The 21,452-nt window shown below is 50.0% G+C and overlaps 5 annotated features.

The window, feature by feature from the left end:
- Window positions 7,400-7,449: an enhancer, noted in NCBI's record as "active region_371". NCBI's record gives its function as "activates an Ori minimal core promoter by ATAC-STARR-seq in GM12878 lymphoblastoid cells {active_cell/tissue: GM12878}" and the evidence as "EXISTENCE:reporter gene assay evidence [ECO:0000049][PMID:35858748]".
- Window positions 13,592-14,092: an enhancer, noted in NCBI's record as "H3K4me1 hESC enhancer chr1:23945502-23946002 (GRCh37/hg19 assembly coordinates)". NCBI's record gives its function as "activates a minimal SCP1, AML or CMV promoter by ChIP-STARR-seq in naive H9 embryonic stem cells {active_cell/tissue: H9 hESC(naive)}" and the evidence as "EXISTENCE:reporter gene assay evidence [ECO:0000049][PMID:30033119]".
- Window positions 14,093-14,593: an enhancer, noted in NCBI's record as "H3K4me1 hESC enhancer chr1:23946003-23946503 (GRCh37/hg19 assembly coordinates)". NCBI's record gives its function as "activates a minimal SCP1, AML or CMV promoter by ChIP-STARR-seq in naive H9 embryonic stem cells {active_cell/tissue: H9 hESC(naive)}" and the evidence as "EXISTENCE:reporter gene assay evidence [ECO:0000049][PMID:30033119]".
- Window positions 14,099-14,368: a silencer, noted in NCBI's record as "silent region_418". NCBI's record gives its function as "represses an Ori minimal core promoter by ATAC-STARR-seq in GM12878 lymphoblastoid cells {active_cell/tissue: GM12878}" and the evidence as "EXISTENCE:reporter gene assay evidence [ECO:0000049][PMID:35858748]".
- Window positions 20,368-20,487: an enhancer, noted in NCBI's record as "active region_372". NCBI's record gives its function as "activates an Ori minimal core promoter by ATAC-STARR-seq in GM12878 lymphoblastoid cells {active_cell/tissue: GM12878}" and the evidence as "EXISTENCE:reporter gene assay evidence [ECO:0000049][PMID:35858748]".

Here is a 21,452-nt window from a genome sequence, read left to right on the forward strand (position 1 = left end):
TCAAAAAAAAAAAAAAAGGCCGGGCTCAGTGGCTCACGCCCAGTAATCCCAGCACTTTGGGAGGCCGAGGCGGGTGGATCACGAGGTCAGGAGATCTAGACCATCCTGGCTAACACGGTGAAACCCCGTCTCTACTAAAAATACAAAAAAAATAGCCAGGCATTGTAGCGGGCACCTGTAGTCCCAGCTACTCGGGAGGCTGAGGCAGAAGAATGGCGTGAACCCAGAAGGCGGAGCTTGCAGTGATCCGAGATGCCGCCACTGCACTCCAGCCTGGGGGACAGAGCGAGACTCCGTCTAAAAAAAAAAAAATTAAATCACATGTAATTGTCTGTTTGGGCCCCCACTGATCACCACTTCTAAGGGGGGGCTCTTCTCTGGAACAACCGTGTATAGGTCCCCATTCCCACGGCAATGCTTTGAGGGGCTTTTTGCCTGGGCTCTGGCTGCTCCCTGGCCCCTCCACTCAGCGACTTCCCTCCCCTCCCCTCTCGGCTCCAGCACATCATCTTCTGTTTGGGCTTTTCCTCCGGTTGCTCCCTCCATGTTCCCCCCCGCCTTTTCTCCCAACACCAGCTCCCACTTCCCCTTCCTTAGTGGAGTAGGTAAGAGCAGACCGCCTGGTTTCAAGTCCTGGCCGTGCCATTTCCTAGCATCTAGCAGTGAGAACTTGGGCAAGTTCTTCCCTTCTCAATGCCTCAATTTCCTCAACTGTAAAAGGGGAATACTAGCAGTTCCTAGCTCACAGGGTTGTTTGAGGATGGAAAGGTATTAAAAAGCCTTACGGGGCCTTAGCTCTTTAATTTGGCTTGTAGTAAGCACACAAAAGTGGTTATTATTATTATATTATTTTAGAGATAGGGATGATTTTAGAATGCAGTAGCACGATCATTGTGCGCTACAGTTTCAAACTCCTGGGCTCAGGTGATCCTCCCATCTCAGACTCCACAGTAGCTAGGACTACAGGCACATGACACCACACCTGGCTAATGTTTAAATTTTTTGTAGAGATGGGGTCTCGCAATGTTGCCCAGGCTGGTCTGAAACTCTTGGCCTTAAGTGATCCTCCCACCTCAGCCTCCCAAAGTGCTAGGATAACGGGTGTGGGCCTCCATGAGTGGCCTAGAGTGGTTATTATTACCTGCTTGGCCTACTGGCCTCCAGAATGCCTCCCTGACCACTGACTCAGCCTCTCGCTGGATTGTGTTACCCACATGGTATTGGAGCTCTCTGCCTTGCCTGTCTCTTCCAGACTGTACTCTTCTCTGGGTAGGAAAGGGGCTATTCTGCATCCTTGGGTCCTAGCATGCAGCAGGTGCTCAATGCACGCTTGTTGAATGACCCACTGAGCAGAGAATTGGCTGAGGCCAAGAAGGTCTGGGATGTAGAGGTTGGGGACAGCTTTCATAGGACAGTGTGCCCATCCTTCTAGAAGTGAGAGTCTTTTTTTTTTTTTTGAGACAGAGTCTCGCTCTGTCGCCCAGACTGGAGTGCAGTGATATGATCTCGGCTCACTGCAACCTCTGTCTCCCGTATTCAAGCGATCCCCCGCCTCAGCCTCCCGAGTAGCTGGGACTACAGGCATGTGCCACCACGCCCGGCTAATTTTTTTGTATTTTTAGTAGAGATGGGGTTTCACCATGTTAGCCAGGATGGTCTCGATCTCCTGACCTCGTGATCCACCCGCCTTGGCCTCCCAAAGTGCTAGGATTACAGGCGTGAACCACCACGCCTGGCCCAGAAGTGAGAGTCTTACTCTAGGTTCTTGAACCCTGCTCCAGCACCCCTGACCTTGCCCCCAACCCCAGCACATCCTGCCCTCCCGTGGCGCCCCCTCCACACACTGTTGCCCACGCACACCTGCCTGGTCCCCAGGCAGCAGCTTCCCCTGACACACATTTTCCACTGCTGGGCGGGGCAGAGCAGGTTACAGGTGAAAACAAGGTTTCCTTTCCTGAGTCCTTCCCCCACCTCCCAGCCCTGTTCCCTGGTTTGGTTTCTGTCCCTGCAGAACATACCTGTCCACAGTCCCTGACTTCAATGGCACAGGGTCCATTGGGGGCCAGAACATTCAAGGCTATGTGAGTGCCACCTAGGGTCTTAGATCAAGTACAGGGTATAGTCAGGACCTTGGCTCTGCTGCATTTGAACTGTGTGACTCTGGGCAAACCCGTTCCCCAGTCTGAGCTGGGTGACTCTGGGCAAGCCCCTTCTGCCCTCTTTCCCCATCTGCAAAAAGGAATAGTAATTCCAGTCCCCTGGGACTGTTATGGGGATTAAATGGGAGAATAGAGGGAGTGTGAATGAGTTCTATCAATCTGATTATTTGTGGGGACAGGGCAGGTACCCAGTGGAAGTAGGAGAGGTCACTTTCTCTGGGCCCAGCACTATGCCAGCCACTGAGGGGTTGTGAGTGTTTAGAATCTAGTGTGTGCTCCGGATGGGGGAGGGAGACTCCAGTGGACAGTACACTAGCCTGAGAGTAAGAGACCTGGGTTTGGATCCCCTAACTCTCTGTGTAACTTTGGCATGTCTCATCGCCACTTCAGGCCTCAGTTTCCCTGACTTGAAATAAGGGGACTAACTTGGATGCTCCTCAGGTCTGATGTCCTGGAGACTGCACTGTGCCAAGAGAAGGCAAGGCCAGGTAAAAATGGTGCAAACTTCCAAGTTGACACCATTCCTAAGTCACTCCTGCTGAGAACCTGGGGTGAAATCTTGGCTAGAGGCCAGTTCTCCTTGATTTCCTCCCATCGGCTTCTGTGACAAGTTCTTTTGTGTCCCTAGCTGGTCTGAATCGCTGCCCATCTCATCAGCCAGGCTTCCTTCTTCTGGCTTCATGAGCCCCTGCTCCTCTATGAAGACCAGCTGCAGTGTTCCTTCCTCCGGGAAGCCTTTTCTGACTCCCTCCAGCAGAATTAGGCATTTCCTCCTTGGAGCTCTCACTGCCCCTCCTAGAACACTCCATCACCGCACTTACCTCTCTTGCTTAGACTAAGTGTCTGAATACCTCACCAGGTTTGAAGGCAAGATCTGAGTCTTGTAGTTGCATGTCAGGCATCCAGCACAGGACCATGTGCAGAGTCAATGGTGGAGGATGGATGGGGGAATGGGGAGAAAATGAATGAATGGATGAATGAAGGAATTGAGAGGTGGATGGCTGTGTAGGCTATGGACAGATGATTTGATGGGGGGATGAATAATTGTTAAAGTGAAGAGGTCAGCGAATAATTAGCTACTGATAATTATTGTTGGCACCACACATCACTGGAGTCACCAAACACACGCCTGGACATACCAGCGAATGCTCCTTGCTTCCATGATTCCAGGGCTCTGGTTTCCCCTCCAATGCATGGATGTTGGCCAGAGAACCCTCCTATGGCTCTCTCCACATGAGAGCCTGGGGTCAGCTGCCCATTAGAATGTCTTACCTTTCTCAACACATTTTAATTTCTCAACTATCAGGGTTAAGATGATGGTGACTAATTCACTGTGAACTCTGCGTACTACACGAGGCTCGGGAGTGGGTGTTTCTGGATGTTTTGGTGAGGAGGGAATTGCTGACCATGACACTGGCAAAGATGCCAAGATGACCCACTGGCCACTTTTCCTGCCTCGTCTACTTTCCCTTCCTCTCCCCACCATCCAGTACAGCCTGTACCTTCACCCATGAACAACCCTCTCATCTGCTAAAAGAGAATTTTACAACTGACCTTGAGTCGCCAGTTATCTTCTGCAACCTACTCCATGCCACCTCAGAGACCCAAGAAGAATAGGGGTCAGAACCCAATTTAAGCCTGGGCATAGTGGCTCACGCCTACAATCCCAACACTTTGGGAGGCCGAGGAGGGCAGATCACCTGAGGTCAGGAGTTCGAGACCAGCCTGGCCAATATGGTGAAACCCCGTCTCTACTAAAAATACAAAAATTAACCGGGTGTGGTGGCAGGCGCCTGTAGTTCCAGCTACTTGGGAGGCTGAGGCAGGAGAATCGCTTGAACCTGGGAGGTGGAGGTTGCGGTGAGCTGAGTCGTGCCACTGCACTCCAGCCTGGGCGACAGAGCGAGACTCTGTCTCAAAATAAATAAATAAAAATAAAAATGGAACCCAGTTTGGAGGGTTGCTGCCTTTCCCTCAGTCTGTCCCCTAGAGTCGGTTGATAGCAGGAACACTATGGGACTTGGGGGCAGAAGACTTCAGTTTAAGTTTTGACTTTTCAGCCCTTGTCAACTGCTTCCTTCTGGGAGGAGGGGCCCAGAGGTGGACAGAGCAGCAAGGAGAGACAGGCTTTGGAATGACACAACAGCAGGTTCGAATCCTGCTCTGCCAGGGAGTTACTGTGACCTCAGGCAAGTGATTAACTCTTCTGAGTCTCTGCTTCCTCATCCGTAAAATGGGAGAATACCATCACCTCCCACCTCCCAGATGCTGCTCAACCTCTAGCCATGTGTGATGATGGAAATGCCTAATTCTGCCCAAGAAAGTCACAGAAAGCTTCCTGGACATTTTTCTATGTCTTTTAAAATCTCAAGAATTTTTATATCTATTATAATGGATAATATTTCATATTGATAATATTTTGAGACATTGGATTAAATATGTTACTAAAATAGAATTTAAAAAAAGATGCTGCTCAAAAATCCTTCTGCTATGCAGCCATCCCAGCCTCTCCCAGAGTTTGGTGGCTTCTCTCCTGCCTTGTCACAGGGTTTGCATGTGTCTCTATTATAGCTTTTATTTTTTTATAGCTCTGTCACCCAGGCTGGAATGTAGTGGCGTGATCTCGGCTTACTGCAACCTCCGCTCTCGGTTCAAGCGATTCTCATGCCTCAGCCTCCTGGGTAGCTGGGATTACAGGCACATGCCACCATGCCCAACTAATTTTTGTGTTTTTTGGTGGAGATGGGGTTTCACCATGTTGGCCAGGCTGGTTCAAGACCTCAAGCAATCCACCCATCTCAGCCTCCCAAAGTGCTGGGATTACAGGCATGAGCCACCACACCCGGCCTGTTACAGCTTTTAGAAGTTATATTGTAGTTGTCTGTTTAGGGTCTGTCTCTCTGACTAGCCCAGGAGCTCCTTGAGGGCAGGAACTATATCTTGGTCATCTCTACTCCTAATTCCTTGCATACAGCCTGGCACACAGCAGATGCTCAGCAGTAATTAATAAAGTGGATGACTACATGTATGTGAAAGCAGTGTGAATTGCAGTGAGAATTTTATTATTCTTCCATACCTGGAGTTCTAGGTGAAAACAACAGGATACATGCCACATAAACCCTGATCAAGGCTCTGGCAGGGAACAGATGGTATAACCAAATGGGTAATTTGTAAAAAGTTTAATGAAGGGACTACTAACAAAGGTGTGGACAAGGTTTAGGAAAACCAGGGGGAATGGTGCAGTACCCCAGGGCTGGCAGGCAATATGAGGAGCTGTTACCACCTGTGGCCTGAAGGGTGGGGAGGGAGAGGTCACCTGGACCCATGGCCAGAGATGTATGCACAGGGCTGCCTGATAGGAGCTGTAGGCTTCGGGTGAGGGACACAGCCAAGGTGGCAACCCTGTAGGAAGGGGCTGGGGAATAAATACCAGTCCCCACTTGCCACCTGTCCTCTGTCCTCTTGCCTCACCCAGCCAGAAGCCAGAGGGCAATGGGGGCCATTGATGTCACCCACAAAGGTCACCTAATCAAGGTACAGAACAGGTTGAGGAAGGGCAGAGGAGAGTTCTAGAGGGGCAAACAGAGAGATCCAGCATGAGAAAGAACATAATACCCTCAGGATCTTTAAAGGACTTCTGGATATGCTTATAAAATACAATAAATGCTGGGTGCAGTGGCTCATGCCTGTAATCCAAGCACTTTGGGAGGCCAAGGCGGGTGGATCACGAGGTCAGGAGATCGAGACCATCCTGGCTAACACGGTGAAACCCCATCTCTACTAAAAATACAAAAAATTACACAGGTGTGGTGGCACACACCTGTAATCCCAGCTACTCGGGAGGCTGAGGTAGGAGAATTGCTTGAACCTGGGAGGTGGAGGTTGCAGTGAGCCAAGATCGCACCACTGCAAATCCAGCCTGGGCAACAGAGTGAGACTCCATTTCCAAAAAAAAAAAAAATTAGCTGGCTGTGGTGACACACACCTGTAATCCCAGCTACTCAGGAGGCTGAGGCAGGAGAATTGCTTGAACCCAGGAGGCAGAGGTTGCAGTGAGCTGAGATGGCATCATTGCACTCCAGCCTGGGAGACAGAGTGAGACTCCATTTCAAAAACCAAAAAAAAAAATACAATAAATGGCCATACACAACAATAATCATTAGCACTTAAGCACCTACTGTGTGTCAGGTGCTGTGCTAATCCATTTTCCAGTTGTGGAAACTGAGTCTCAGAGAGGCTAAGCAACCTGCCCAAGGTCACACAACAGGAAGTAGCATAGCCAGGACTGGAACACAAGTGGGCCTCAAAGTGCAGGTTCTCATCACCTGGTAGCAACTACCTATTGCTAGGCACTATTTCCAATCCAACAAAGCTCTACAAGGTCAGTGTTTTTTTCCAGAAACTTAGAGAGGTCAGATGATTTCTCCAGGGCCACACAGCTCATAGGGGGTGGGGGTAGGGGCAGGGAAGCAGGGTTGGAGAGTTTGCCATTAGTTGGAGCAGGTGACTGGCAGATTGCACGGTGGCAGCCTCAGGGATTTTTTTAGCCCCAACGGGTGGAGCCACCTCTCACCAGGTGCCTCCCGGAGTCACTCCCCAGCTGCAACCACAGGATTTAGACTTTCAAAGCTGGGCAGGGCCCTCAGCATCCTCTAGGCTGCCTCTTGCCTGTGACTTTAAAACTAATAATAATGATCGCAGTCAGCCATGGCTTCCTGAACCCCTGGTGTACTCATTCATTGTCTTTCTCTACATTGTCGCTAATCTGACCACAACTCTCCTTTAGGATTGTACAACATCTACAGGCAGGTATCATGGGCTGCTCATTTTGTAGAAGAAGTCTGAGGCTTAGAAGGCAAATGACTTGTCCACGATCGCGAGGCAAGTCAGACCCTTCAGAGCCAGACCCTGACCCCAGGGCAGTGTATGCAGCTTAGAGCACCGATCCTGGACCTGGAAAGGCTGCATCCACATCCCCAATTGCACCTACCAGCTGTGCTGACCTTGGACAAGTCATTTCTCTGCATCTTAGTTTCCTCATCTATGAAATAGGAACAGCAATAGCATCTGCTTCATCTGGTTGTGGTAAGGATGAAATGAATGATAATACATAAAGCACTCAGAGCAGTTATTAGAAACACACCAAGGGCTTTATAAGCATTGTATCCTGGAGTCCACTGAGCTTTCCAACCTTGTCTGAGGAGGCTCTTAAAATTGCTTCTGTGTGACCCTGGCTTTCATAGTAATCAACTGAATGGTTCCCACCAGGGCCATGCACTATGCTTCACAGGCCATGCTTGCCCCATTCAGCCCTCACCATCACCCTGTCCCCATTTTGCAGACAAGGAAACTGAGGCCCAGAGAGGAGTTATGACCTGCTCAGGCCTCCACATCTCAGAAACTGCAGAGCCAGGGGGACTTCTCCCAAGTCGAAGCTGGTAGTCCCCCCCTCCCAACCGCAGGAAACCCAGATTGTTATGATTACTGGTATTGTTGTCCAAAACAATACTGGAGACGATGACAATACAACAATCATGGAGGGTGCTTATTTCCACTGGCTCAACAATTATCCCAACGCCCATATGGAGGGGGCCTGGGGCTTCAAGAAGAGGCTTCTCGAGGCAGGATGAACAAACAAGCAGTGAAAAGCCTGCAGCTGGGCCCCAGGTGCTGGAAGAGAGAGTGGGGCAGGAAGCGGGCAGGCCATTTCTTTCCTCTTCTTTCTTATTTGTTTGAGAAGCAACTTTACTTTCTAAATCGGTCATTGTCACCCGTTAGCCCCCGCCCCACCTGGGCCAGGGCCTCTGGTGACGGGAGCTCAGGAGGAAGCTCTAGGGGGCAGGAGGGATGAGGGTGCGAGGTGGGGCAGGGCCTGGGCCCAGCTGGACATGGGGGCTTCTTTCCTGCAGGGGCCTCATAGGCCACCTTCAGGTGACCTGGGCCTGGCAGACAGTACCTGCTGGAGGTGTGACCTGAGTCCTCCAGGTTCAGCTGCCAGTGGGGAGGGGAGGGAACCCTCATCAACAGGGAAGTAGCTGGCACGGTGGTCAGGGGCCTGGCTCTGGAGTCAGACCCATTTGGCTTCCACAGTCTGTCACCTCGGGCAAGTTACTTCACCTCTCTGAAAATGGGATGGTTTGTTGTGAAGATTAAAAATAATGAAACCACATGACACATGGAAAGCATTTAACACGTTTACTAGCACTTAAGCACATTTACCACTGGAGATTTACTTAAGAAGCCAATAGGTATTGGGCATTTACTATGCACCAGGCACTTTTAAAGCATTCTACACGTATTAATTCATTTATTTGGCACAATTAACATTCTTCCCACTTAACAGATGAGAAAACTGAGGCACACAGAGAGGTAGAGTTCCTCACACAGGGGCAGATCCAGGCTTGGCAGGATGTCAGTAAAGGTTATACAATACTGAGGGCGGGGGGGTCTCTTTAAATAATGAAGTACAAGGCCATGCCAATGAGGGACCCAGGACTTAAACCTCACCATCCTCACCTTAAATCTCCCTCTAAGCTCTGCCGCCCTGCTAGGAAGTGGTAGCAGAGGCCAGGTGGCTAGCTCCAGAACCCGTAAGAGTTATAAGCACTATTGAGAGTACACGAGACAGTCACTGCAGAATGCCACACAAATAAGAGGCAGCACTTCCATTGCATGTACCATGGGCTACACACTCATTTAACCCTTCCAGGAACCTAATGAGGGTGGCATATTATTACCACGCCCATTTTACAGATAAGGAAGTCAAGGCTCAGAGCGGACCAATGGTTTGCCTGAACGCACAGTGCTAAGGAGTGGTAGACCAGGATTCCAGCCCAGGCAGCCTGATCTCAGGGGCCACCTGTTTAGCCACTACAATAACTGTCACCTCGCTCATGACTGGGGCTCAGCACCTTCCTCTCACCTCCCCTTGCAGGCTCTCCCATCTGTTCCCTGACAGCAGCTTGGGGTGTGGACAAGACACCCCTGCTTTGGAGTCAGAGATGCCTGGATACTAATCCTCACCCTGTTGCTTGCTCGCTGTGTGTCCCTGAGACAGTCTTTTCCCATCTCTGAGCCTTAATTTTCTCATCTGTAAAATAGGAATTGTGCAATTTATAGGGTGGTCATGAAATGCAGATACATCAATTATTATTTTATGTGTTTTGTAACATACTATCAATAAGCCATGTATTTAAGTAAGTAAGTTGCCTTTGGATACCACTTCATAGGGTGGCTTGGAGAGTCAGAGTAAGGCGAAGAGTCTGGCCCATATTAAATGCTCAGGACCGGTAGAGATCACCATGCTGGGGACAAGGGGACAAGTCATTTGTGAGGAGTCAGGGGAATGGAGAAATGGACAAAACCAGATGTTGGGATGCCTGCATTCTGGAGGGATTTCTACCACCAGCTTGTGGTGTGACCTTGGACAAGTCACTCCCTCCTTTCTGAACTCAGTTTCTCCATTTGCAAGTTGTAGGCATCGCTCCTCACTAATGCATGAATGAAACTGTCTCTAAGGTCCTTAAGAGACTGAATTTCTGGGTAGGAGCACAGGAGCATCTTCTGGGTCTCTCTGAGGGCTGCTCCCATGAAGTCTCCCCCCTACTCTTGGGGTGCTTTTCATGGCTCCCACTCTTGAGACAAACAGGAGGGTTTGCAGGGAACTCATACATCTCATCTGCTCCAGCAGAACCACAGTGCATGGCTCAGCTCGTGGGCTCTGCAACTGGATAGCCTTGATCTAATCTGTTTCTCACCTGTAAAATGGAGATGAAGATAATATAATAGATGTCCTTATCCTGAGTTCATAGAGGAGGAGACGGAGGTTCCAGGAGGCACAGGACTTGCTGGAGGTCATGGCTCTCACCTTGCCCTTGTCCTACTGCCTCTGGCCCACCCTTCTACAGATATGGGCTTTCCCTATGGGAATCCCAGCTTCCTCTCCCCATCCTAGAGGATTGGGTCACATTGTCTTTTGCCCTCTGCCTGACATCCTGTCTCTCCTCTCTCCCCATCTGGCAAACTCATCCAGTGGAGGTGGGCCAGCCCTGGTGTCCCCACTTACGAGCACGGTGACCCTGAGTAAGCCTCCCACCCTCTCTGGGCCCCATCCCCTCCCCGACGTCACAGGAACAACGTGGAAACGCTTGGCACACCCAGTGCCTGACCCATGGTGAGTGCTCATGAAATGTCATCTCAAATGTTGTCTCCTCAGGGGGCTGCCCTGGGGCCTCCATGTGGACCAAATTTCTCTGGGCTTGCAAAACCCAGTCCCTTCAGCACTTATCACCCTGTATCATAACCATCCACCATCAGGTCTGTATCCCACGCATCCTCAGATCCCTGTGTCTTCTTTACATCCACTGTGTTTGGCATAGGGACTGATACAAAGGAGGCACTCAGTTAAAGATTGTTCAATGAGTGAGTGAATGAATGAATGAATAAATGAATAAATGAATGAATGGTGCCTGAGTGGTGCTACATTGCACCGGGGTAAGCATTTCTCAGTGTCTCTCACTCAGCCTTCTCTGTCACCCTATGGGGTGGGTGTTCTGTCATTGCCCCCATTTCACAGATAAGCAAACAGACTCTGCTGGGGGAGGTGGCATAATCAGTGTTGGTGAAACCGGGTCCCAGAGCCTTTCCATGTCAGGTGAGGGTGGGTGGTTGGAGCCCAGAACAGTGAGTGTGAGTGACCCCTTCCAGAATTTGCCTTTGACCATTACCTCCTTGTAGAACTTCTCTCCTCCCTCGAAGACGCTGCTTCTCCCAGAACCTCTCTCATACCCCTCAGTCTCCTTCCCAAGTTCCAGCCAACCCTTGAATATTAGTGTTCCCCAGGGTTCTGCCCTCAAGCCTCATTGTAAACTGAGGCAGGGCTGGAACCTCTTTTGTCTGCCCGGCATATTTTTCCAATCTTCTCATTTCCTGTCCATGTGCTCTGGTCAGGTATCCCTCACAGGGCCCCACCCACTGGGAAGGCAAGTAGGCCAATTACAGTGTCCCATTTTCCTTGATATACAGTGATTGGTTTGGGCCTGGGCATGTGATACAAGCTGAGCCAATCAGAGCCCTCCCTGGAACTTTCGATGGAGCCAGTGGCGAAGCTTGGCTCTCTCCTGAAATGAGAGCTGGTAGGATGTAAACATTTGAGCATCTTTCCTGGGACTGGAGAATGCCTATCTGCCATGGGAGAGAAGGCCCATTCTTTTTTTTTTTTTTTTTTTGTTTGAGACAGAGTCTCACTCTGTCACCCATGCTGGAGTGTGGTGGTGCGATCTTGGCTCACTACAGCCTCCGCCTCCCGGGTTCAAGCAATTCTCCTGCCTCAGCCTCCCAAGTAGCTGGGATTATAGGCACTCACCACCACACCTGGCTAATTTTTGTATTTTTAGTAGAGTCAGGGTTTCACCATGCTGGCCAGGCTGGTCTTGAACTCCTGACCTCAAGTGATCCGCTTGGCTCAGCCTCACGAAGTGCTGGGATTACAGGCTTGAGCCACCATGCCCGGCCGAGAAGCCCCATTCTTAAAGAAAGGCAGAGACAAACAGAACTGACTGATGGGTGTGATGGGGAGATAACCCAATGTCATCACTGGAAACCCTGGATCCAGCAATGCCCGAAGTTTGACTCACCCTTGAAACTCTAAGATAAAGGGGCCACTACGTTTGTAGTATCGTTTTTCTTTTTGTTTTGTTTTCCATAACCTAATTTGAACTGAGTTTCTGTCACTTACGACCAAAAGATTCCTAATATTCTCTCTCTCTTGCCTCTCCCTCGATGATCTTGGGTCTTATCTAGTCCTATATCTGGGTGTGTAGTGCAGTCAGTTCTTGAGGAAATGGACATCTGGGAGGTACCTCAAAGGTGACCTCGCTCTGCCTGCCACCTTCCTGGGTTAATGCTGTCATCATCTACCTCAGCTCCTGATACAGGAAATTCTGTCACCTTTATTTTGTGTCTCTCCCTCTAATTGTTCTCCTGGATCTACTGCTGTTCAGTTTCAGAAAGTTCTTGCCCAACTCCCCCCCACCCCACCCCATTGCCATTACCTTGGTTCAGGCCTCCTTCAGCTCACCACAACAACTTGAATCTGTCCTCCCTTTCCTCCCCCTTTGTCCATCCTCCATACCTATTATGGAGATTTTTTTTTTTTTTGAGATGGAGTCTCACTCTGTTGGCCAGGCTGGAGTGTAGTGGTGCAATCTCGGCTCACGGCAACCTCCGCTTCGCGGGTCCAAGCAATTCTCCTGCCTCAGCCTCCCAAGTAGCTAGGACTATAGACACGTACCCCCACACCTGGCTAATTTTTGTATTTTTAGTAGAGACGGGGTTTCACTATGTTGGCTAGGCTGGTCTTGAATTCCTGACCTCAAGTGATCCACCTGCCTTGGCCTCCCAAGGTGCTGGGATTACAAGTGTGAGCCACCATGCCCAGCCTACCACAGAGATCTTTCTAGAACCCACAACTGACCATGTCACTCCTGCTGCAAACCCTGCGTGGCTCCCTGTCAACCTCAGGATAAAGTCTGAGCTTCCTAGGGTGGTAACTGGAGGCCATTCCCAATTCGACTTCATCTTTTTTTTTTTTTAAATTTTTTTTTTGAGACAGAGTCTCACTCTGTCACCCAGGCTGGAGTGCAGTGGTGTGATCTTGGCTCACTGCAAATTCTGCCTCTGGGGTTCAAGTGATTCTTCTGCCTCAGCCTCCCAAGTAGCTGGGATTACAGGCGTGCACCACCATGCCCGGCTCCAATTTGACTTTATCTTGAATCCATTTCCTCTCCCCATCCTGCATTTCAGTCACGTTTCACGCCCTTTTCCTGAGCACACTACCCCCTTTCTTGTCTCTGGACTTTTCTGCTGGAATCCGTCTCTGTCCAGCACGTGCCTTGCCCCTCTCCCCACCTGAGCTACAACCATTTTTCAGAGAGTCCCGTCAAGGCTGACTCCTCTGGGAAGTACCCCCTGTACCAGCCTGATCCCCCTTGCCCAGAGAGTCGGCTTCCCCCCTCTTCTGTGCTCCCATCACACCTGGGCCTTTGCGTCGTGGGCTAACTGGGACATGAGCCCCCAAGGGCAGGACCCAGCCTGACCTTCCTCTCCACCCTTGGGCCATCGCTGCACACTGCAGTGAGCTCCATGGGTAAAGGGGAATGCCATCCGGCCCTTCTCACAGGGATCCTCCTGGCTCATCTCATTTGGTTCTTGACTCATCCTTGACTCTTTAGGGCAAAGAGGCACCTGGAAGAAATAATTACAGTCTTTGCATGTGGGTAGTACTTCGCAGTTTACCAGGTGTTTCTGAGTTTCTCATTGGTCTTTATATGTCTGTGGGTTTCAGGGAAGTTGTTGTCAACCCCATTTTACAGATGGAAAGCTTGGTTCAGAGAGTTAGGGATGGAGCCAATCCCCAGTCTTGGGCAAGCCCCTGACCCTGAAAATCCTTTTGTGATCCAAGCCCCCCATTTCCTAAACGTGTGCTGAGAACCAGGGAAAACCGGGGTATCCAAGTAAGAAGAGGGAATGCAGATTCTGGCCTGGGCTAACAGCAACAGTAATAATGACCCCACGGCAGCCACTGCCCTTGTCCTGCTCTGCGTTCCATCCACGTCACGAGCATCATCTGCTTATGAGGAAGGGTTACTCATTCCCATGTTACAGATAAGGAAACCGAGGCCCAGCAAAGCTAAGAGACTTGCCTTTCTTGGCCAGTTTCCTTCCGATGCCTTGGTGATCGCTACAGCCCTTTACAGTTTGTAACTTTAGCACCCCTTTCCTGATCTCTCCAGTCTAGCACTGGTAGGTGGACGTGCTCCCATTTGACAGAAGCAGCAACTGAGGTTCAGAAGTCAAGGGTGGAGCTGGGAGACGGCTCTCAGCCTTCCGATCATGGGAGCGCGCCCAGAGCCTGGTGGCGCAGCTCTGGCGGGGAGGCGGGGAGCAAGCGATAGGGCCGCGAGTGGGAGTCCGCGTCTCCTCCCCGCCAGCCGCCGCCGCCGCCGCCGCCGCCACAGCAGAGCCTGGCTTCCCCGCAGCAAGCGCGGCAGGTGCGCAGCCGGTGGCGGCGTCGGCGCGGCGGGTGCGCCCGCGTGGGCGTGGGCGAGGGACCTGGGCGGGCGGGGCCCCACGCCCATCCTCCCTCCCCCCTGCCCTCTCTCCCGTGGCTGGCGGCAGGTGAGTGGGTGTCGAGGAACCGCCAGGCAGCGGAGAAAACAGGACGCCGCAGAAATCAGATTACTCACCTGCAGCTGCTACTACCCAGGGCTAATAAAAGCAGAGCTTCCTGTTGTTTCTTTATTACCGCCCTCTGCCTCCCTCCGCCCCAATCCGCTCCCAGCTGCAGCCAGAGCCCTAACTGATCGCCAGAAACCGGTTGCTTGGGGTCCAGACCAATCCAGTGCCTGAAATACCCTCTGTGCCGCACAGGGTTGGGTTAATGCTTCCTCAAGGGTGGACTTCGGTCACCTGCATGGGAACCACCTGGGGTGCTGGTTAACAACACACATCTCCAAATACGGCTTCACACCTGCTCGATCAATTCCTGCAGTTTGGGGCCCAAGAGCAGAATTCATAGGAATCTCAGGTGATTTGTAGGCAGGCTGAAGTTTGAGAACCACCGAGTCTGGATGTTGTAGGTTCAGATGATGTGGGTTTCCTGTTCTCAAATGCGACCCACAAGTTAGGGATGAAACCTATCCCCAGTCTTGGGCACGTGGGGCAGAGCCTCAGTCTGCTTATTTGTAAAATGGGGGTGAAAATAATACAGACCTCTCAGGACTGACTGAAACAAGGCTCAAATGGAGAATACACTTATCGTGATTCCTAGCGATTGCTCCTGGAGTGTATAGACCAACCAGGACTAGGCACGGAGTACCATCCATGGAGTGTGAGGGGCAGGATGAAGAAGCAGGCAGAATGGACCTCGGCTGGGAAGGGGCCATGATTCACCCTGGGTGCACTGAGAAAGACTTTTCACCGTTGAGCTTCTCCAGAGTCCAGTCCCCCTCACACCAGGAAAATGTTCCTGCCCAGGGCATGGACAACCCTGATGGCTAGATCCAGTGACCTCTTCTCAGCCCTTCTGTGACACCTGACTCTGGAGTGGACCTCACCTTTCTCCTCCAAGCTGTCACCTCCCTCAACTTCAGGGCAAGTTTGGATCCCCTTCTTCGTCTTCCTCCTATCTAGCTAGCAGCTCCCTTGCAGGCCCCCGCAGCCCTTCCTCCTCCTGCCTCCGCAGTCATGGGCACCTCGGCCTACTGCGCAGCCTCTACATCCTCCCAGGACAACTCACCCACTCCCAGTTACCTTCTTTAAGCTGAGCTCTGCCCTTCCTGAGTCCCTGATTCATAAACACAGCACCTCCTAGACATCTCTGCTTGGCAACTCCCCTGCATCCAACTCAACTTGACCAGCTCCAAACTCATCATCTCACTCTCCCCTGCCACCTGCCTCTTCTGGTTTCTCTGTCTCAGGGCAACACACCTGGATATTGTCCCAGGTGAGGTCTGCTCCTCAGCTCCTCATCCAGCTTTCCAATCCAATCCATTTTATCTCCCCAGTTTTGCTCCAGAATCTGTCCCCTTCTTCCTAGTCTTCCTGTCCCTCTGCACCCCAGGTCCCCTAGTTCAGGACTCCATAATCTCTCACCTGGATGATTCTAACAGCCTTTTTTTTTTTTTTTTTTGAGACCGAGTCTCACTCTGTCGCCCAGGCTGGAGTGCAGTGGCGCGATCTTGGCTCACTGCAAGCTCCGCCTCCTGGGTTCACGCCATTCTCCTGCCTCAGTGACATTTACTGAGCTCTTACCCAATGCTCAGTACCATGTCAAGCCAGTCAATCTTTGTAGCTTTAGCTCAGCCTCATACCATTTACATGATTATTATTCCTGACTTACAGATGAAAAAACTGAGGAAGAGGGAGGTTAGGTAGCTTGCCCAAGGTCACAAAGCTAGTAAGTAGCAGAGTTGGGATTTGTACCCAGGTCTCTCTGGATCCAAAGCTGGTACTGTTAGCTGTTCTAATCTTGAGCCACCTTGTCCCAGTTGCATAGTCTTCTCCTTTTTTGTATCTTCCCTGGCATCTCAGAGGATGCCTGGCATATGGCAGATGTTTGTTGAATGAATAAACAAATCTGTCTGCACTCCCATTTAATTCTTCTTTTTTTTGACAGAGTTTCGCTCTTGTCGCCCAGGTTGGAGTGCAGTGGCATGATCTCAGCTCACTGCAACCTCTGCTTCCTGGGTTCAAGCAATTCTCCTGCCTCAGCCTCTGAAGTAGCTAGGATTATAGGCATGAGCCACTACACCCAGCTAATTTTTGTATTTTTAGTAGGGCCTAGGTTTCACCATGTTGGCCAGGCTGGTCTCGAACTCCTGACCTCAGGTGATCCACCCACCTTGGCCTCCCAAAGTGCTGGGATAACAGGCATGAGCCTCCGTACCCGGCCCCATTTAATTTTTACAACAACCCTAGGAACTACATTTTTTTAAAAAAAACAAAACTTACTATGTAATATTTGATGATTACAAAAAATGTGTGTTGAATATCTGGCATATGAAGACAAACACCTGTGAACCCATGGCCCCAGCTTAGGAACTAGGCCTTCACCAGCACCACTGAGGCCACCTGTGTGTGCCTCCCCAGTCCTATTCCCTGCCTTCCTCCAGAAGTAAACACTATCCTGAATTTTGTGGTTATCATTCCATGCCCTTGCTTTGAAAAAAAAAATAATTTTACCAAATGGGGAGGATCCTGTGCAACACATTATTACGTTTGTTTTTTGATCTTTATATAAACAGCACAATGCATGTGCATTCTTCTTTGGCTTGATTTTTTCATGCATCACTATGTTTCTAAAATACGTACATGATTTTGCACTTTTGGCTGGCCTTCATTCCTTTTTCCTGCTGTCTAGTACTCCGTTGTCAAATAGAATTCAGTGACTTTATCCATTCTCCAGTTGATGAGCACATGGATTGTTTCCAGTTTTTCGCTATCACCAATAAGGCTGCCATGATCATTCTTACACCTATGTCTTGGTGCACACATGTAGGAGTTCCTCTAAGCTACCTACCTCAGACTGTAATTGTGGGTCATTGGGTATGCACATAATTAGCTTTACAAGATGCTGCCAAGTGATTTTCTGAAGTGCTTGTATTGACTAACATTCTTCCTTTCCTCTGCCACAGTGGATGAGAATTCCAGTACCTCCACATCATCCCCAACAGAGTATGATCAGATTCCTTCACTGTTCCTCACACGGTCTCCATTTGCACCTCTCTAATAAGATGAAACATCTTTTTTTTTTTTTTTTTTTTTTGAGGCGGAGTTTCACTCTTGTTGCTCAGGCTGGAGTGCAGTGGTGCGATCTCAGCTGACTGCAACCTCTGCCTCCCGGGTTCAAGCAATTCTCCTGCCTCAGCCTCCCGAGTAGCTGGGATTACAGGTGCCTGTCACCATGCCTGGCTCATTTTTTTTGTATTTTTATTTTTATTTTGAGACAGAGTCTCACTGCCTCCCAGGCTGGAGTGCAGTGGCGTGATCTCGACTCACTGCAAGCTCCACCTCCCGGGTTCACGCCATTCTCCTGCCTCAGCCTCCCGAGTAGCTGGGACTACAGGCGCCCGCCACCATGCCCGGCTAATTTTTTGTATTTTTAGTAGAGACGGGGTTTCACCGTGTTAGCCAGAATGGTCTCGATCTCCTGACCTCGTGATCTGCCTGCCTCAGCCTTCCCAAAGTGCTGGGATTACAGGCGTGAGCCACTGCACCCGGCCTTTTTTTGGATTTTTAGTAGTGATGAGGTTTCACCATATTGGCCAGGCTGGTCTTGAACTCCTGACCTCAGGTGATCTGCCTGCTTCATGCTGGGATCACAGGTGTGAGCCACCGTGCCCGGCCGAAACATCTTTTCATATGTTTATTTTGCATTCTGGTTTCTTTTTCTGTAAATTGGCTGTCCGGTCCTTTTGCCCACTTTTCTATTAGGTTGTTTAGCCTTTGCTTATTGGTTGGAGGCATTCTTGGAGAAGTTTTTTTTTTGTTTTTATTTTTTAGTAGAATTAGAATCTGGGACCCAAGTTCATGGAGGACAGAGCCAGCCTCAAACCTACATATGTCTGATTCCAGGGCCCTTAGTATCCACCCCTTTGTTTCTCATTCATTCATTTCTTTCTTTCTTTCCCTCTTTTTTTTTTGAGATGGAGTCTCACTCTGTCACCCAGGCTGGAGTACAGTAGTGTAATCTTGGCTCACTGCAACCTCTCCCTCCCAGGTTCAAATGATTCTCCTGCCTCAGCCTCCCGAGTAGCGGAGACTACAGGCACATGCCACCACACCCAGATAATTTTTGTATATTTTTTAGTAGAGTCAGGGTTTCACCATGTTAGCCAGGCTGGTTTTGAACTCCTGACCTCAAGGGCTTTGCCTGCCTCAGCCTCCCAAAGTGCTGGGATTACAGGTGTGAGCCACTGCACCTGGCTCATTTATTCATTTCTCAAATGTCTACTGATGACTTTCTCAGTAAACACTGGAGAGGGAGTAGATGGTTGTGGTTAAGAGCATAGATTCAGGACCCCCCTGACTAGATTTTCATCTCTGCCTCTCACTAGCTGTGACCTCGGGTAAATTTCTAACCTATCTGTGCCTTAGTTTCCTTTCTATAAAGTAAGGATGATAATAAAGTCCTCTCTTACAGGGTTGATATGTGAGGACTGATGAACGAGTTAATTCATATAAAGGGCTTTGGAGGTGGGGTGGTGCAGTCAGTGCTGAATAAATAAATAGTACATGCCAGGCACTGGGCCTGCAGCACACCATTCTGGGGACACAGGAATGAAAAGACAGACAATGACACTGACATCATGCAGCTCACTGTCCAACAGAAAGAGACAAACACAAAACAAGTAAATAAATAAAATAACGTGGTTGTGACAAAGGCAAGGAAGAAAACCACAAGGTGACGAGACAGAGGGTGACGAGACAGAGACCAGGCACTGACTCAGCTGAGGGGTCATGCAGGGAAAGCCCCCTGTAGGAGTTGACATTTAGGCCAAGGCATGGAGGAGGAGAAAGAGCCACCCAGGCAAAGAGCAGAAGAAGGTGGCCCAGAAGAGAAAAGGGCAGGTGCAAAGGCCCTGAGGCAGGAAGAGCTTGACATTTCAAGAACTGCAAGGAGAGCAGTGTGGCCATGGCTTTGGCTGTGGCTGTAGCCAAGTGAACACGGAGATGACAGCAGGAAGAAGGTGGGGAAGCACCAGGGCAAAGGGGCTGGAATTTTTTTTTTTTTTGAGACGGAGTCTAGCTCTGTCGCCCAGGCTGAAATGCAATGGTGCCATCTCTACTCAATGCAAGCTCCGCCTCCCAGGTACACACCATTCTCCTGCCTCAGCCTCCCGAGTAGCTGGGACTACAGGCGCCTGCCACCATGCCTGGCTAATTTTTTTTTTTTTTTGTATTTTTAGTAGAGATGGAGTTTCACCGTGTTAACCAGGATGGTCTCAATCTCCTGACCTCGTGATCCGCCCACCTCGGCCTCCCAAAGTGCTGGGATTACAGGCATGAGCCACCGCGCCTGGCCAGGGGCTGGATTTTATTCCAAGTGCAGTGGGTGGTTTTGGACAGCAGAGTGTTGTGATCTGATATATGTCTTTATTTTATTTTATTGAAACAAGAGTCTTGCTCTGTCACCCAGGCTGGAGTGCAGTGGTGTGATCTCGGCTTACTGCAACCTCTGTCTCCCAGGTTCAAGTGATTCTCATGCCTCAGCCTCCAGAGTAGCTGGGATTACAGGTGCCCACCACCACAACAAGGAAATTTTTTTTTTTTTTTTAGTAGAGGCAGGGTTTTGCCATGTTGGCTGGGCTGGTCTCAAACTCCTGACCTCAAGTGATCCGCCTGCCTTGGCCTCCCAAAGTGTTGGAATTACAGGCGTGAGCCACCATGCTCAGCCTAATTTATGTCTTTAAAAGATCACTCTGACTGCCTTGTGATCAACTATCTATGAACTGATCTAAATACTTCTTGAAGCCACTAGTATTTTTAGCCAGTACCCCCTCTGTGTGAAGCAAAACTTCCCTTTACTGGTCTTAAATTTACTTCTTTCGAGTTTCAAGGGGAGCCCCCTTCTGCCTCCTATCTTAGGGTTAGTGGCCCAATGCGAGATCTCTAGTAAAGGTTTTCACAGAGTGGGTGGGAGGAGGGTCTCCCAGTTTATACCTTACCTGCTCTGTGATGTTTCACCACCTGTAAAATGAAAATAATGAGAGTGGCCACCTCAAGAGGCTTTGATGATGAAATGGGACACAGCTTGGCAGCAGGGAGTAATCAATATAGGCTAGCTTCCATGCAGATGACAATTATGGTGATCAGGAGGAGGATGATAATGATAGGGATGATGGTGATGGTGATGATGATGGTGATGATGGGGATGATGGTGATGGTGATGATGGTGATGTTGATGGTGATGGTGATGATGGTGATGGGGATGATGATGATGGTGATGGTGATGGTGATGATGATGGGGATGATGATGATGGTGATGTTGGGGATGATGATGATGGTGGTGATGGTGATGATGATGGGGATGATGATGATGGTGATGATGATGATGGGGATGATGATGGTGGGGATGATGGTGATGGGGATGATGGTGATGGGGATGATGATGATGGGGATGATGGTGATGATGGGGATGATGATGGTGGGGATGATGGTGATGGGGATGATGGTGATGGGGATGATGATGATGGGGATGATGGTGATGGTGATGATGATGATGGGGATGATGATGATGGGGATGATGATGGGGATGATGAGGATTCTGTTGTGTGATATTGGGGGAGTCAGTGAATGACATTTTCCATGTCTGTCAAATAAGGGTGTTGGACCAAATGATCTGTGAAGGTCCATCGAGGTCTGATGTTCTAGAATTTTCTAGTTTAAGTGCTCTCTTCCTCCTTTCAGCCTGGGTTACCCTCTTCCCTGCAATTTTGGTGCTCCCTAGTGATGTGTGATGAGAGATGGAGTATTATAGTAGAGACAAAACTGATGTGGAGTCAGGAGGCCCGAGGTTCCAGCGGCACCATTTATAGTGGAGTCTTCATCATGGTGCATTTAACTTACACACATTTTTTTTTTCTCTTTGAGACAGGGTCTTGCTCTGTCACCCAGGCTGGGGTGCAATGGCGTGATCTCGGCTCACTGCAACCTCCACCTCCTGGGCTCAAGTGATTCTCATGCCTCAGCCTCCCAAGTAGCTGCGGTTATAGATGTGCACCACCACGCCCG

Source organism: Homo sapiens, chromosome 1 (assembly GCF_000001405.40).
Source record: "Homo sapiens chromosome 1, GRCh38.p14 Primary Assembly".
Taxonomy (NCBI): Eukaryota; Metazoa; Chordata; class Mammalia; order Primates; family Hominidae; genus Homo; species Homo sapiens.